The following is a 15,810-nucleotide window of genomic DNA, read 5'->3' as shown; positions in this document are numbered from 1 at the left end:
GCTGTGTGACATTTAGAAAGCCACTTGGCCTCTCTGGCCTAAGTTTTATTATCTGTGAAAAGAAAGGATGGTATTATACTAAGGGTCGTAATCTGGGGTCTGTGGATATAAATCAAGGGATCTATCGTCATATTTTTCCCCACTAACTTTGAATTGAGATTTAGCATTACTGTCCATTGTAGGCAACAGGCCACAGGACTATTAGCAGTACCTGGGATGGTATTGACAAGAGAATCAGATATTTACATATCACATTACAGCTGTGGCAGTTATTTTGAAATACTTGGAAGTATTTTGAAATGTTTTGAAACCTTCAAAATCATAGAAGATACTAGATCTGCCTAATTTTTTTTTAATGCACTGATAAACAAGTATCTATATCACTGTATCATGTGTGTGTGTGGGGTGTGTGTGTGTGTGTGTGTGTGTGTGTGTGTGTTTTGAGACAGGGTCTTTTTTTTTGAGATGGAGTCTCACTCTATCGCCCAGGCTGGAGTACAGTGGCACGATCTTGGCTCACTGCAAACTCTGCCTCCCACGTTCATGCCATTCTCCTGCCTCAGCCTCCCGAGTAGCTGGGACTACAGGCGCCTGCCACTGCACCCGGCTAATTTTTTGTATTTTTAGTAGAGATGGGGTTTCACAGTGTTAGCCAGGATGGTCTCGATCTCCTGATCTCATGATCTGCCCACCTGTGCCTCCCAAAGTGCTGGGATTACAGGTGTGAGCCACTGCGCCCGGCCTGAGACAGGGTCTTGCTCTGTTATCCAAGCTGGATGGATTACAGTGGCATGATCTCTGCTCACTGCATCCTCAACCTCCCAGGCATAAGTGACCCTCCCATCTCAGCCTCCCGAGTAGCTGGGACTACCAGTACATGCCACCATGCCCAGCTAACTTTTGTATCTTTTGTAGAGACAGGGTCTTGCTATGTTGTCCAGGCTAGTCTCTAACTCCTGGGCTCAAGCGATCCTCCTTCCTTGGCCTCCCAAAGTGCTGGGATTACAGGTGTGAGCTGTCATGCCCAGCCATACATTCGTTTTTTAAATATTTTGATAGCTGCATTTCAATACAATTGTTTTCTTTCGTAATCCTCTGAGTTTTATTTTATGCAATTTAGGGCATTATTCTGAGAAGGGAGTACATGGGCTTTAGCAGTCTGCCAAACAGGTTCAAGGCACACACAGAAAAGTTTAAATTCCCTGGTTCTGATGATTTCTCAGGTTTCCTGCAACTCAAGAATGTTCTACTATTCTAAATCTTCCCAATCTTTAGGAAACATAATTTTTTGCGTTAGCCCTTTCCCACCTGGATTGCCTAGGTGACGTGGCTCTTCTCTGTTGCGTGTGTTTTAACAGCACACATGCCTGCTGACACCTGCCGGGACCCTACCAAGTCTCCACTTGTGAGGAAGTCCCTTCCACCCTCAGTGGTAGATGGCTTTGGTTATTGGCACTGGTCTGGTGAGGTTCAGTGCACTGACTGGCCTCATGTTCTGGGTGGGGTCCCACTGGTGGGCCATGCCCAGCCCTTGGTGCCTTTGTGTAGTAGGTCACTTCCCCAGTGTCTAGCGTGGCAGTCTTTTCAATGACCTACAAGTTTTTCTTGGCTCTCATCTTATGTTCCTTGGTCTAGTCATGTTACTTTTATTTCTACTCCACTCTGGAATTAGCCAGTTGTGTGTGAAAAGCGAGTGGTGTTGCAGAGGAGGGATGAAGTGTGGACTTTTTAATGGCAGGACCATTCAGCTCTGGTCTGGCAAAAGTGGCTGCATTACCAAGTCTCCAGAGAGCACTGCCTGGAGGGCAGGAGGTTGAAGTTACCTGCCAGGTTGCAAATAGCCTCGAATGCCAGGGCCAGAGCTGAGCTGACTGTTTAGCACATGTCTTTTAAGTTAGTAGGAGGTGCATGCTATGATACTCCTTAGAGAAGTGCAGTCATTCTAAATGTGTTGAGATGGAGCAAGGTGATCACACCATCTCTTTTGTTGTCAAGGCTAGTTTTAGATTTCTTTTCAAAATCCTTCTGATGTAAGTGGGTTGAATCCACCACTGGAGGACTCTAGAACAGAATGACTCACATAGGTTCTGTACAGAAATTCGCAGATGTTCTGTGGATGTTCTCCGCGGCTCTTATCTGTTTATGTGGATGGTGTCTGCATAGCATCTGCAGCTCACACCCCCAACCCTGCTGTAATGCAAGAAACAGAGGGATTTGGGGGATTTGGGAGATGTTTATGTTATCAGGGATGTTAAATGAAAGAAGTAAAAATACCATATGAATGCAAGGCATTCATTTTATGGAGAGTGTGTGCCTGAGTGGGATAAAACGGATTGAAACAATAAATGAGGAATCCTGTTTGATGTTGACGACAACAGCTTCATGTAAATATCATCCCATAGGCCCAAGCTATTTCTTTTGTGGGGAAAAATGGAGATCTTCATTTCTCAAAGGATCTGAAGTGAGCAATTCAATGATGCCAGGCACTAGTGGTAGAGAGTGTGATGCAGTGGAACGAGCATGGGCTTAGATTCACACAGACGTGGGTTCGAATCCTATCACTGCACCGTTACAAAGCCTTTAAATCCTTTGAGTGTGTCCCAGCTACAAGATGGGACAATGATGCTTATCTTCCGGGAATGTTTTGAGGCTTAGTGAAGGCAGGATAGTCAGGTCTTCACCCTCTAAGCAATCGCGTTGTCACTCCCACCCGTCCACTGCCCCCCGTCCACTCCCCCCGATCCACTCCACGTACCTGCAAGCTCTTTATCTCACAGGAGCAGCAACTCTGTTTGCTTTACATCTTAGCAGTCCCTGCCAGTCATAGGGTCAGACACGTGGCAGGTGCTTGTTGGCTGCTTATCTCAAGTGGGGAAGTATGTGGAAGGAGCATTAGTTGGGGAGGGAGAAGAAGAGGGACCTCTTTCAATTCGTGATCATGTCTTGACACTTCACCCCCTCTGTCTCCACTCTGACCTCACACAGGCCACAGAGGCAGCTTTCGAGCCTTTCTCTGGGGCCCTCTTAGACTCTGGGAGTGCTGAAGAGCTACCTGGGTACCTTCGTTCTCCTATCCGTTGGGCTGCCATCCTCTGTGGACACATGTACCACACAGGCCACGCGGTGCCCAGGCCTGGCAGGCTGGGACTGGGGAAGTGCTGGTGGTACTGGGCTGACCCGTCATCAGAGAGACCCATGAGCCAGACAGCCTCCCTCCAGCAGCCAGCCCTGGGCCTTGAGCATGGAGGCACAGAGGCCAGGGCTTCCCAGCAGCCCCAGGTGTGGGCACCGAGGGCAGGCAGGTGCCCACAGGCTCTTGTCTTTCATAATGGAGGGCATGGCTGTCGGGGGTTCAGGGAAGTGGGTGGGGTGCCTGGCAGGGGGATTCCTGAGACAAAGGCACAGTGCCAGCCTCCACTGTTTATCCACAGCATCTGGCAGAGTGAGGCTCTCGTGGAGTGATTTTTGAATGAATGAATGGCGGAAGGAAGAGTGCGGGCACCGATGAACCCAGGCTAGCCAGAGGGGAGCGCCACTGCCTTCCTCACTCAGTCTCCCAGCACTCACCTCCAGCACACCCTCTGCTGACTCCTCCCACTGTACTGGGTGTCAAGCAGGGACTAAGGTGACCAAGAGTCTCCTTGTTCCTTAAGCGCCTTGTGGGCTGGGGCCATGGTCGCTGTGGCTGTCCTGCACCCAGCAAGACGCTGGGTACCACGGCAGCTCAGTGAGTGTTAGATGCAATCTAATGTACAGAAGCACTGACGGGCTAATGGAAAAAGATGCCTGTGAAGAACCTTCCAGTGAGATTAACTTGCAAAGAAACCCACGTCCACTGTCCCCTTCCTTAAGGGGAAACGCTGTGGGAGGCTGTGCCCTTCGTACCTTGAAGCCACAGCTTTGTTTTCCTGCCATGGGGGAGACTGGCTCCCAGGGCTTCACCACCAGCCAGCGCCAGCTCCTTGCACAACTCCAGAGGGCACCACTCAATTGTATTACATGTCACTGGCACCCCCTGGAGCCCAGCAACCATCCCGAGGCTCCTGTTTGTCTTGGAAACAGAGGAGCATGCTTGGGGAAGGGTCTCTGGGCCATCTCCTTGGGGGCTGGCAGGGAAAGGACATTCACAGGATTCCTTCCCTCCAGAGGGCCTCAGACAACAGACTAGATGTCAAGGACTGACCGCCTGTTCCCCTCCAGCTTGTCGGAGCCGGGCCAGAGGGGAGATGGGGACAGCCAGTGCTGGGCCCTGCTGCAGGCAGCCAGCATCCACAGACTCTGGGGCCGGCGGGTATGTTGGGGCCGGGGAAGCAGAATACTTGGGGTCTTGTCAATGCTGTCTGACTTTCTTTCAAACTAAAACATTTGTGGAAATCTAGCCAGAGTTGATTTATGAGCTCTACATATTTCACAGGTCTTAACACGTCCCCCAGGAATCAGTGAGGTCAGACAGAACAGACTTTGCATCCGGAATCAGTATGAAATTGGCATCTTCAACAGTTTCCATGGGAGGAGGGGTTTAAGAATTTGAGGGAGATTATATGAAACAATGCAAAGACACAAAAAACCCTGACTCTGCTTCATTCCATTAGGGAAAAAGATGGGTCATCTGTTTTCTGCATCTGAGCTGAGTGAGGGGTGGCCTTCTCCGTGGGGACAGGGATGAAGTATGATGGGACAGGACTCCTGGGGCAACTGAGAGCTCAGAGTGGACTCAGGGGTGACCACAGCACCCTGTACTTATTCTCCAGCTCACACTCCATAGCTGTGATAAATACACATTTGTGATTATTTATTTAACATCTCTCCACCCAACAGAGCTTTCTGTCTTATTCGCCATTGTATTTTTTTTTTCTTTTTCTTTTTCTCTTGTGCAGTGGTGCTATCTTGGCTCACTGCAACCCCCATCTCCTGGGTTCAAGCAATCCTCGTGCCTCAGCCTCCCGAGTAGCTGGGACTACAGGTGTGTGCTACCAGCTATTTTTTTGTATTTTAGAAGAGACGGGGTTTCACCACGTTGGCCAGGCTGGTCTCAAACTCCTGAGCTCAGGCAATCCGCCCACCTCTGCCTCCCAAAGTGTTGGGATTACAGGCGTGAGCCACCACACGCGGTCTCACCATAGTATTTTTCTAGTGCCTGATAAATATTTGTTAAATAAGCAGAAAAGCTACATGAGTGAATTATATATGTGGGATTCAAATGAGAAAGAGAAATGGATTATATATTAGGTACAGTTTCTACATAGGTTAACTTATGACCACTGATGGAATTCATTTATCCATTTACCATTTATGTGTTGAGGTCTGAGCTGTGCATGTAAAGATTAACCCATTTATGCCTGATGTTGCAATTTTTAAAATTTTTGCAATCAGACCTTGGTGATGACCTTGAACAGGAGAATATAAATAACTCCCACATGCTTAGCGTTCCAATAATGGAACACTAGGCATAATTTATCAGATATCATCACCCCCTGGCGAGTTCACAGCCTCTTGGCGGGAGTCGGGTGGTTTGGCAGGAAATATGAAACCCAAATAATTTTATGTAGCCCAGTGAAATGGGATGGCAACGAACGTAGGTATGGGACACTTTGTTGGCTCTGGCTGGAGTGGTCACAGAAGCTTTCCTAAAGACAGGGTTGCATATCTGTGCGTCCATTTGATTAAACAATATTGACTGATCACTTTTCTGTGTCAGACACTGCCAAGGGCTAGGAGGGTCTAAGGATGAACGAGATGCTGTCCCTGCCCTCAGGATCTCTCTGCTGAGTGGGTGTGAGTGGGGGTTTTGGAGGGGGGTGTACATAACTCATCAGATTCTCTTCATGAGCCAGTGTCAGATGTGACTGATGAGAGCAATATGTCCCAGGTGCTATGGGAGTGCCCACGAGGAATGTGAATGCATATGGTGGCCTTTAGCAAGTCTTTGCAGGATTGAATAGGATTTCCATGTCAGAGACGAGGAAGGGCAGTCAGGGTTAGGGAACAGCATGGGCAGAGACATGGAGACAAGAAAGTTCACTGCATGTTGAGCAGTCTTGGTCATGAGTCAACCGGTCACCTGCACACTTATGACACCCAGTGTGGCTGCAGCATGGACACATGTTGTGGGCAGGGCAGGCACAGAATAAGAGATGAGGCTTAGAAGGTTGGCACTCAAGATTCCCCACCAGATTGTGGGGCCTTGAATTCCATGCAGTTGACTTGGGCTTTATTCTGTGAACACTGGTTTTTGAGCAGGGGAGTGAAATGTTTACAAGCCTATTTGGAGATTTCTGCTTAGCCTAGTCTTAGCACTGCCACAAGCTCATTGGGTGGTTGTGCTCCAGTTCCTTCTCTTTCTGGGGCTTCAGTTCACATCTGCATGAGAGGGGCTGGGCCATTATCTGTGAGGCTTCCTCCAGCCTTGACCACTCAGGATGCAAAGATGCTTATGACAACCAGGTGAAGGGTGGCTTCTGGAGACAGGCAGCTTTCGGAGATGGTATCTTCTCATTTGAGGCATTGATTTTGCATGTAGTCTAAGCTGTAGGGGCTAATTACTGGGTCACCTCATAATTACATCACCTCCATGTTCTCAGGGTCCTGGTCAAAGTCTCCTTTAGGCTTAAAACAGGGATGAGCCCTCTGCCGAGACCCCTGAAAAAGGGGCATCAGTGGATGGATGAAATTGGCTCTCACTGTGATGATAGGGCCTGGCCTGGTCCTGTGAGAAATCTGACACTGCCTTTATAATTCCTGGGGGAAGTTTGCAAGCAGCTGGAGCAAAACACAAGCTCCTTAGGAAGCCAAGAATCCTCCCAGATTGACCAACAAGGTAGAGATGTAAGCGATCCCACCATCAGACGTCTCTGGAAAATCCCACCTCAGACCTCAGACCTCCTCAACAGATCCTTTTTCCAGGATTGTCTCAATCTCATTTCTCTCCAGAGAGCAGACAGTGGCTGGGGGCCAGGTGGCACTGGCCTGTGGTCTGTTGTGGTCTCCACTTCTCCCCATGGAGGCTGGGTCCTGCGGTTACTGCCATGAGTCCTTTCATTGTAGTAATTCCCACTGGAACACTGCTTCTCGCTTTTCCAAATGCTTTCGTGTCCACCAGCTCATGGAATTCTCAAAATAGCCCAGGGAGGAAGGCAGGCCTAGGAATGTTCTTCCCTTCATTTTATTTATTTATTTATTTATTTATTTATTTATTTATTTATTTACTTTATTATTATTATTATTTTTGAGACAGAGTCTTGCTCTGTCACCCAGGCTGGAGTGCAGTGGTGCGATCTCGGCTCACTGCAATTTCCGCCTCCTGGGTTCAAGCGATTCTCATGCCTCAGCCTCCTGAGTAACTGGGATTACAGGCACCTGCCACCAGGCCCAGCTAATTTTTGTATTTTTAGTAGAAATGGGGTTTTGCCATGTTGGCCGTGTTCAAATTCCTGACCTCAGGTGATCCGCCCGCCTTGGCCTCCCAAAGTGCTGGGACTACAGGCCACCGCGCCTGTCTGCCCCTTCATTTTAGAGAATATGTGGAAGGGCTCCATGACTGTCCCACATCCCAGAGTTTGCTTGTGATTTAGGCTGACCAGCATGTGGGCCCGCCAGCTTTAGGCCCTTTTAGGCCATCCCACGACGTGCCCTGGTTGGTCATAGGCACCATGCCAGCTCCTTTCTCTACCCCAAATATACCAGGCCCTTCTGGACCTCAGGGCCTTCACACTTTCTCTTCCTTCTATTTGGAACTCTCTCCTGGCTCTTCACATTGCGGGCTCATTCTCCTCTCTGGCTTCAGCTCAGTTCAGATGGCACCCCTTAGAGAGTCCTACTCAGGCTGCCTTGTCTGAAATTACACCGCAGTTACTCCCAATCACAGCCTTATCATTTTCCAGCACAGTCTTCAGCGTGCATTAAATCCACCGGAGGCCTTCAAACACAGATTGCTGCCGAGTTTCTGACTCAGTAGGTCTGGGGTGGGGTCTTTTCTTCTGAGTGATGCTGACGCTGCTGGCCCGGGGGCTGCACTTTGAGAGCCACTGATTGGTGGCTTTTTATGTATTTGTTTGTTGATTTTCCCATCCCTTAGCTGTAAACTTCAAGAGGGGAAGAAACGTTGCCTTGTAACCTGCTGCATCCCCACTGCCTGGCCCATAGTTGGTGCTTGCTAAGTACCTGTTAGCTGGCTATTGGCTGAAGGCTCAGCTGGAACCTCTTGCTTCATAATCAATCGTCTTGCACCTGAGAGGGAAGAAGGACAAGCATTGGCAGAAACTCTGGGAGCTACTTGGTCTCAGCTCTTCTCTGCTTTACTACCTTTTTCTTTAACTTTTTCATGCTTGAGCCTTTTCTAAGGGTCATTATTAATTTTGGGTAAAGATTACATGGATAATTTTCATAAAATCCCAGGTGACGGATTTTACTTTCTGGGTTCAGAATTCCAACGAAGCCGCAGGACATCTGGGTAAGAGAATTAAAATGTCGTGACTGGCTTGCATAGAACACCTCGTAGAATTCCCAATGTGGTACTTTCAGAACCCTCTGTGTCTCAGGCCTACTAGCCTTTGGCTTCAGAAGAACAAAGTTGAAATTTTGCCAGATTGGAGTTGGGTTTTAACCATGAAATGTTATCTATCTTCCCTGACAAAGAGGAGTTGAAGACCAGTTCTAATGATAGATCCCCTGAAGATATTGCTTTGGCCAAGGGAGTGCTGAGGGTAGGCTTGGGCTGACCTGGTCCATACTTCGTGCTACCATTGGGGGCCACAGGCAATGGAGTATGTGGGTTGGAGGCTTGCCAGGAGGAGGGTTGGCAACTCCTGCATAAACCACCACAAGGCTGCTATGGACTGAGAATCGTGGGAACAGCTGATTCTGCCCAAGGGGGTTGAGGAAGTCTTTACCAAGGAGGGACATTTATAGTTTGGTTGAGAAATCTGGAGGATAGGTATGTGATATGACAGGATTTGTCCAAGATCACCTGGCAGGCCATTGGCAGCGCTGAATAAAGCCCAAAGTCTCTGGTTTCTTAATCTCCAAAAATCATGAGTTGTGCAAAGAGATCAGATTCAGCAGCTGAATGACCTTGAGCAAGTCACTTCTCCGTGGTTGAAGGATGATCTTTAAGATTCGTTTAGATAATTCATTCATTTCGAGACACTGGGGATAGTAAGTGACCAGTCCTCTTTGTAAATCATACAGCCCTATTCTTTCCATATTCAAGCTCAATAAATAGTTGTACATTGAATGAATTTGACTGCTAGCATCATCTCTTTCCAAAGACAGAAAATATGGGGCAGGAGACCCTGGTGCATTAGCAGGCAGACAAGCCACAAATGGGTTAATAAAATAGAGTCATTAAGACAACAGGAGATAGTGCAACTTGGCTTTTGACTCTGAGGAGGAGGGAAGGCTTGCCAGGATTGCATTCCAGCACAGCCTACTGACCGTGGGGAAGAGTGTGTGGGACTCCAAGTCAAGCCCCAAGAGCCACACGCACGCTAATAAGTTCTAGTCAACAAGAACTCTGAAACCAGACAGGGGAGGGAGAAGGACAAGGCAGTCTACTTCCCTCTGGAAGCTTGGGAGGTGCTCAGGGCCAGGGGGAAAGCCCACACAATGTACTAGTTTGCTAAGGTGGCCATAACAGAGTACCACAGACTGGGCAGCTTAAACAACAGAAATGTATTGTCTCCTCGTTCTGCTGGCCAGAAGTCTGGGATCACAATGTTGGCAGAGTTGGCTCCTTTTGAGGGCTGCAAGGGAAGGATCTGTTCCTTGTCTTTCTAATTGGCTTATAGCTGGCCCTGTGTCTTTCCTTTCCTTTACTTGACTTTGTCTTTCCTCTGTGGGTGTTTGTGTCTCAGTTTCCTCTTCTTAGGAGGACACTAGACATTTTGGAGTAGGGCCCGCTATAACGGGCTCATTTTAACTGAATTACCTCTTTGAAGACCCTGTCCCCAATTGCAGTCACATTCTGAGGTACTGGGGGTTAGGACTTGAATATATGAATTTTGGAGGGACACGATTCACCCTATAACACAGGACACAGCCCTCTTCCTCCAGTGGGGACCCTTTTGAGGTCAGAGACCCCTGGTAATCCTTCCTTCCTTCCTTCCTTCCTTCCTTCCTTCCTTCCTTCCTTTCTTTCTTTCTTTTCTTTTCTTTTCTTTTCTTTTCTTTTCTTTTTTTTTTTCTTTTTTTTGAGACAGAGTCTTGCTCTGTCACCCAGGTTAGAGTTCAGTGGTGTGATCTCGGCTGACTGCAACCTCTACCTCCCAAGTTCACATCATTTTCCTGCCTCAGCCACCCAAGTAGCTGGGATTACAGGTGCATGCCACCATGCCCAGCTAATTTTTGTATTTTTACTAGAGGCAGGGTTTCACCATGTTGGCCTGGCTGACCTCGAACTCCTGGGCTCAAGTGATCCACCCATCTTGGCCTCCCAAAGTGCTGGGATTACACGCATGAGCCACAGTGCCCGGCTGCCATTCTTTTTTCTTATCCTTAATGACCTTAATCTGTGATTTCTTCCCAGAGGCCTTCTTAGATCTTTACTGATCTCATCCCAAGCCCATTGGAACCTCCTCTTCTCTGAGTTCCCAAAACACTGTGCTTGTGCCTCTGTTGGGACATTTCTCACCATCTACCTTAGACTTAGGAATGTGCTTGTGCCACTTACTCATTAAAGCTTCGTGTCCTGTTATCTTTATGTCTCTTTCATATCCCCTATCTCCTGTCTTGCAGATAGAACAGGGTCAATAATGTTTGCTGGCTTGTTGATAGGTCAGCTGTCCAAGAAAGTTGGGTAATAAGTGCTGGATAAACAGGAAGATGAGGTTGTTAGAAAACAGCAACAGCAACATGCCTTTCCTTAGATTTTGTGCACTCGTAGACAAAGTCAAGCTACTGGATTTATAAAGAAAAGATGCTCTTTCCATCCTTCCATCCTTGTTTGGCCCCAGTAGGTCAACAGAAGAATCTACAAACTGGGTGCTCAGCATTCTTAAGCCCCCAGAGTTCAAATCGAATTCCTCTTTTGGCCAGTCTTGGAGAGACTCTTCAATCATATCTTAAATAATGGCATTCTTTTGGCTCAGCTCTATGGATACTCCTCCTTCCGCCCCCAGTCCCCTGACCTTCTGCCCTCTTGTTTCTTGGCTGAAAATCTGGGTCTGCTGTAGAGAGCAAGAGCAGTTTCAGCAGAGCTGGGGTCCTTCCCACAAATCCAGAGCCACACACTCCAGAAAGCCTGACTATGCAGAAACAGCTGGGTTTTGGCAGGCTGATTCTGAAAAGCTTCGAATCACTTAGAAGCACTTTGTTCCCAAATGGTATGTGGAGGATGAGGAATGTACCATCAGATGAGGCAGGTCACCCATCTTGTTATGAGAGGACTCATTTGAGGACTGTCCCTTGAAACAGCTTCCCTGACCTCCCACCTTTACCTTATTCTAGATGTGACACTCCCAACTGGTTCATGGGTGGTACAGGTGCCTGGATATTGATCTCTTCAGCTCTTGGGTTGGGGGGCAGGGGCTTCAGAGGGAGGCTTAGTCCTTGGGCCAATTTGCCCATTCCATTGTACCTTACACACTTGTGTAATGTTCTATGTGTGCCTCAACATGAAAAAGGTTAAGAAGGGCAACTTTAGACTGGCGTGCTCTGCAGAGATTTCTAGGAACATAGAGCAAATTTCTCATTTACCTTTTAAAGTGAAATACATTCACTTGTTACTCTTGGTGCTGTGGCTTTTGATGAAGCAAATGCCAACATTAGGACTCTGTGTCTCCATAAAGCTATAGGGAAATTTGATTAAATTCAGTGTATTAGTCATCAGGACTTTTTGATTGCAACTGACAGAAACCCAGCTCCAAGTAGCTTAAGCAAAACAACAATAAACTACCTAAACGTATTTTGTTTTTTCTTTCTTTCTTTTTTTTTTTTTTTTTTTTTTTTTGAGATGGAGTCTCACTCTGTCACCCAGGCTGGAGCGCAGTGGCTTGATCTTGGCTCACTGCAACCTCTACCTCCCGCATTTAAGCAATTCTCCTGTCTCAGCCTCCCGAGTAGCTGGGACTACAGTTGCACGCCACCATGCCCAGCTAATGTGTGTATTTTTAGTGGAGACATGTTTCACTATATTGGTCAGGCTGGTCTTGAATTCCTGACCTTGTGATCCACCCACCTCGGCCTCCCAAAGTGCTGGGATTACAGGCGTGAGCCACCACACCCAGCCTAATTTGTTTTTTCATAACTGAAAGCTGAGAAGTAGAACTAGCTTCAGACATGCCTGAGGGCAAGGGCTTAAGTAGTGTCATATGGCCTTCATTTTTTTCTCTCTCTCCAATGACTATCTCTAAAACATAGGCTTCTTCATTCTCAGGGCAGGATCTCTCAAGTGGAGGCCGCTGGCAGCTCCAGGCTTATGTCTTTCTAGTTTAACAACCCAGAGAGATTGCCTTAATCTCGAGCTCTGGCAAAAGGTCATAGTTGGGCTCTAGTAGCCAGCATGGGTCACAAGCCCATCCCTGAGTTCGTCACAATGACTAGCAACCCATGGGCTTTGATTTAGCAAGCCTACATCACAAGCCCACCCCGGAACCAGCAGTGGGTCCAAAGCTACCTGCCGTGCATGGACCAAAAGTGCAGAAAGGCAGTTCCTTAAAGGAAAATTAGGGTGCTGTTACCGGATGAAGGAAGTTTGGATGGTGGGAGGGCAAGAGCTGTACCTGGAATCCTAACTTTTGCATGGAAAGAGAAGAAACAGAAGGACCCAAAGTTTGTTCTGAGCCCACAGTGACAGATAACAAAGGATGCACTCACTCACTAAAGGATGCACTATCTCAGTCATACACACACCCTTCCATGACATTGGGGGATGGTCACTAGTAACAAAAGTAGGGGCCTAGAGCTGCCATCTGAGCTGCTCACCTGTCCTCAGGTAAGCAAGTACTGATACTGCCCCCAAAGAAAACTAACTCTCCCTTTCATTGAAAGTTATCAGGTAGATAATACCATGAATCCTCTTTACAGAACATCTGAAGAAATGCCTAGTCCCTCACCTGAATTCTTTTTTGTTTGATTTTGAGACAGAATCTCGCTCTGTCACCCAGGCAGGAGTGCAGTGGTGCGATCTCCTCTCACGGCAACCTCCGCCTCCCACGTTCAAGCGATTCTCTGTCTCAGCCTCCTGAGTAGCTGGGATTACAGGCACCGGCCACCAGGCCTGGCTAATTTTTGTATTCTTTTTGTAGAGATGGGGTTTCACCATGTTGGCCAGGCTGGTCTCAAACTCCTGGCCTCAAGTGATCCACCTACCTCGGCCTCCCAAAGTGCTGTGATTACAGGCGTGAGCCACCGTGCCTGGCCACCTGAATTCTTTTGAGCTGTTCTTTGTTATCCTGCCCTTAGGAACAACAAAAAATAAAAGGCAAAGAATGGTAGATTTTTACCATATGTAACCATCATTATCTTTGGTCATGTTATAGTATGATTTGTTTACAATATACTGCTGGATTTGTTTGGCTAACATTTTATTTAGGATTTTTGTCATTAATGTCTATAAAGTAGAATGACCTGCCACATTTCTTTTTTAATATTACTCTTACTAGTTTTGGTGTCCACATATAAGCTTGATAGAGTGAGATATTGTTCCTTTTCTATTCTCTGGAAAGTTAGAATGGTCTAACCTTAGGTCATTCATGGAAATTTTATTCAAATTCAATTCATGGAAAGTTTATTTGAATTTGCCTATAAGATCATTGAGATTTGGTATTTTTGGGTGTGTGAGTGGGAAGATTTTTAGCTACTGATATGATTTCTTTTTTTTTTTTTTTTTTTTTTTTTGAGATGGAGTCTTGCTCTGTCGCCCAGGCTGGAGTGCAGTGGCGTGATATCGGCTCACTGCAACCTCCGCCTCCCGGGTTCATGCCATTCTCCTGCCTCAGCCTCCTGAGTAGCTGGGACTACAGGTGCCCACCACCACGCCTGGGCTAATTTTTTTGTATTTTTAATAGAGACGGGGTTTCACCATATTAGCCAGGATAGTCTCGATCTCCTGACCTCGTGATCCACCCGCCTTGGCCTCCCAAAGTGCTGGGATTACAGGCGTGAGCCACCGTGCTTGGCCGCTACGATATAATTTCTTAAAGTTAGGGGACTGTTTGCACTTTCTGTTTCTTCTTAAGTCAGTTTTACATAGTTACCTTTTTCTAAGAACTTGTCTACTTAATAAGTTTTTAGCTTCATTTGCATAAGCTTTTTCTTACCATTCTTTGTGTTATCTATTTGATCTTTGCTGACTTTGTAGTTCTGTTGTATTTTCATTCCCAATATTGTGCTAACTCTTTTTTTTTTATTATTTTTTATTTTTTTAGACAGAAACTTGCTCTGTTGCCCAGGCTGGAGTGCAGTGGTGCGATCTTGGCTCACTGCAACCTCCACTCCCTGGGTTCAAGTGATTCTCCTGCCTCAGCCTCCTAAGTAGCTGGGATTACAGGTGCTCGCCACCACACCCAGCTAATTTTTGAATTTTTAGTAGAGATGGGGTTTCACCATGTTGGTCAGGCTGGTCTTAAACTCCTGACCTCAGATGATCTGCCTGCCTCAGCCTCCCAAAGTGCTGGGATTACAGGTGTGAGTCACTGCACCCAGCCTTGTGTTAATTCTTTAATTAAAAAACAAAAAACAAAACAAAACAAAACAAAACAAAAAAAAAAACCACACAGATATTGCCAGAGTCATATCAGTTTGCTGTTTTCAAAAAGAAATATTTTGCTTTGTTGCTCTCCCCGATCTCTTTCTTTTCCTTTTGCTTTTATTTCATCAATTCCTGTTTTTTATTCTTTTCTTTCTATGTTTTGGATTTGTTTCTGTTTAAATTTTTTTCTTTTTTTATTTTTTCGAGAGTCTCATTCTGTTGCCTAGGCTGTATGCAGTGGCATGATCATGGTTCACTGCAGCTTTGATCTCCTGGGCCTCAAGTATCTGGGACCACAGGTATGTACTATACTGCCCAGCTAATATTTGTTGTTTTTTTTTTTTTTTTTTTTTTTTGAGACAGAGTCTCACTCTGTCGCCCAGGCTGGAGTGCAGTGGCATGATCTCGGCTCACTGCAAGCTCCGCCTCCTGGGTTCATGCCATTCTCCTGCCTCAGCCTCCTGAGTAGCTGGGACTACAGGCGCCTGCCACCACGCTCGGCTAAATTTTTTTGTATTTTTGTAGAGACAGGGTTTCACTGTGTTAGCCAGGATGGTCTCGATCTCCTGACCTCGTGATCTGCCTGCCTCGGCCTCCCAAAGTGCTGGGATTACAGGCATGAGCTACTGCGCCCAGCTAATATTTGTATTTTATGTAGAGGCAGGGCCTCGCCATGTTTCTCAGGCTGGTCTCGAACTCTTGAGCTCAAGTGATCTGCCTGCCTTGGCCTCCCAAAGTGCTAGGATTACAGATATGAGCAACTGTGCATGGCCCCTTTTCTAATTTCTTAAGCTGGTTGCTTAGCTCATTAACTGTAAGCCTTTCTTCTTTCATTAAGTCAGCACTTAAGACTACATATTTTTTGGTGTGACCTATAAGTTTGGATGTATGGTATTTATTGCTATTAAGTTGTAAGAATTTTTAATTTTCCCTGTAATCACTTCTTGTTATCCATGATTTATTTAGTGGTGAGTTTCTGAATGTTACACATTTATGGGGATTTAAATTATCTTTTTGTTATTGATTTATAACTTAATTGCGTTGTCATCAGGACATAGGGTCTTCATGATTTATTCACTTTGGTATCCACAATGCCTAGCACAATGCCAAGAATGTAGATGTCA

The 15,810-nt window shown here is 46.6% G+C and overlaps 1 protein-coding gene across 7 annotated transcripts in view, besides 1 other annotated feature; it reads left to right on the top strand.

Annotated features, from left to right (window-relative positions):
* Window positions 1-15,810, top strand: part of FBLN5 (fibulin 5) — a 78,284-nt gene that overhangs the window by 18,175 nt on the left and 44,299 nt on the right. The gene's annotated exons all lie outside the window — the stretch shown is intronic.
* Window positions 2,690-3,189: an enhancer, noted in NCBI's record as "H3K4me1 hESC enhancer chr14:92392675-92393174 (GRCh37/hg19 assembly coordinates)". NCBI's record gives its function as "activates a minimal SCP1, AML or CMV promoter by ChIP-STARR-seq in primed H9 embryonic stem cells {active_cell/tissue: H9 hESC(primed)}" and the evidence as "EXISTENCE:reporter gene assay evidence [ECO:0000049][PMID:30033119]".

Source organism: Homo sapiens, chromosome 14 (assembly GCF_000001405.40).
Source record: "Homo sapiens chromosome 14, GRCh38.p14 Primary Assembly".
In the NCBI taxonomy this organism is placed as follows: domain Eukaryota; kingdom Metazoa; phylum Chordata; class Mammalia; order Primates; family Hominidae; genus Homo; species Homo sapiens.
The sequence above is the reverse complement of the archived record's forward strand: the minus strand, read 5'-3'. Positions and strand labels throughout refer to the sequence as shown.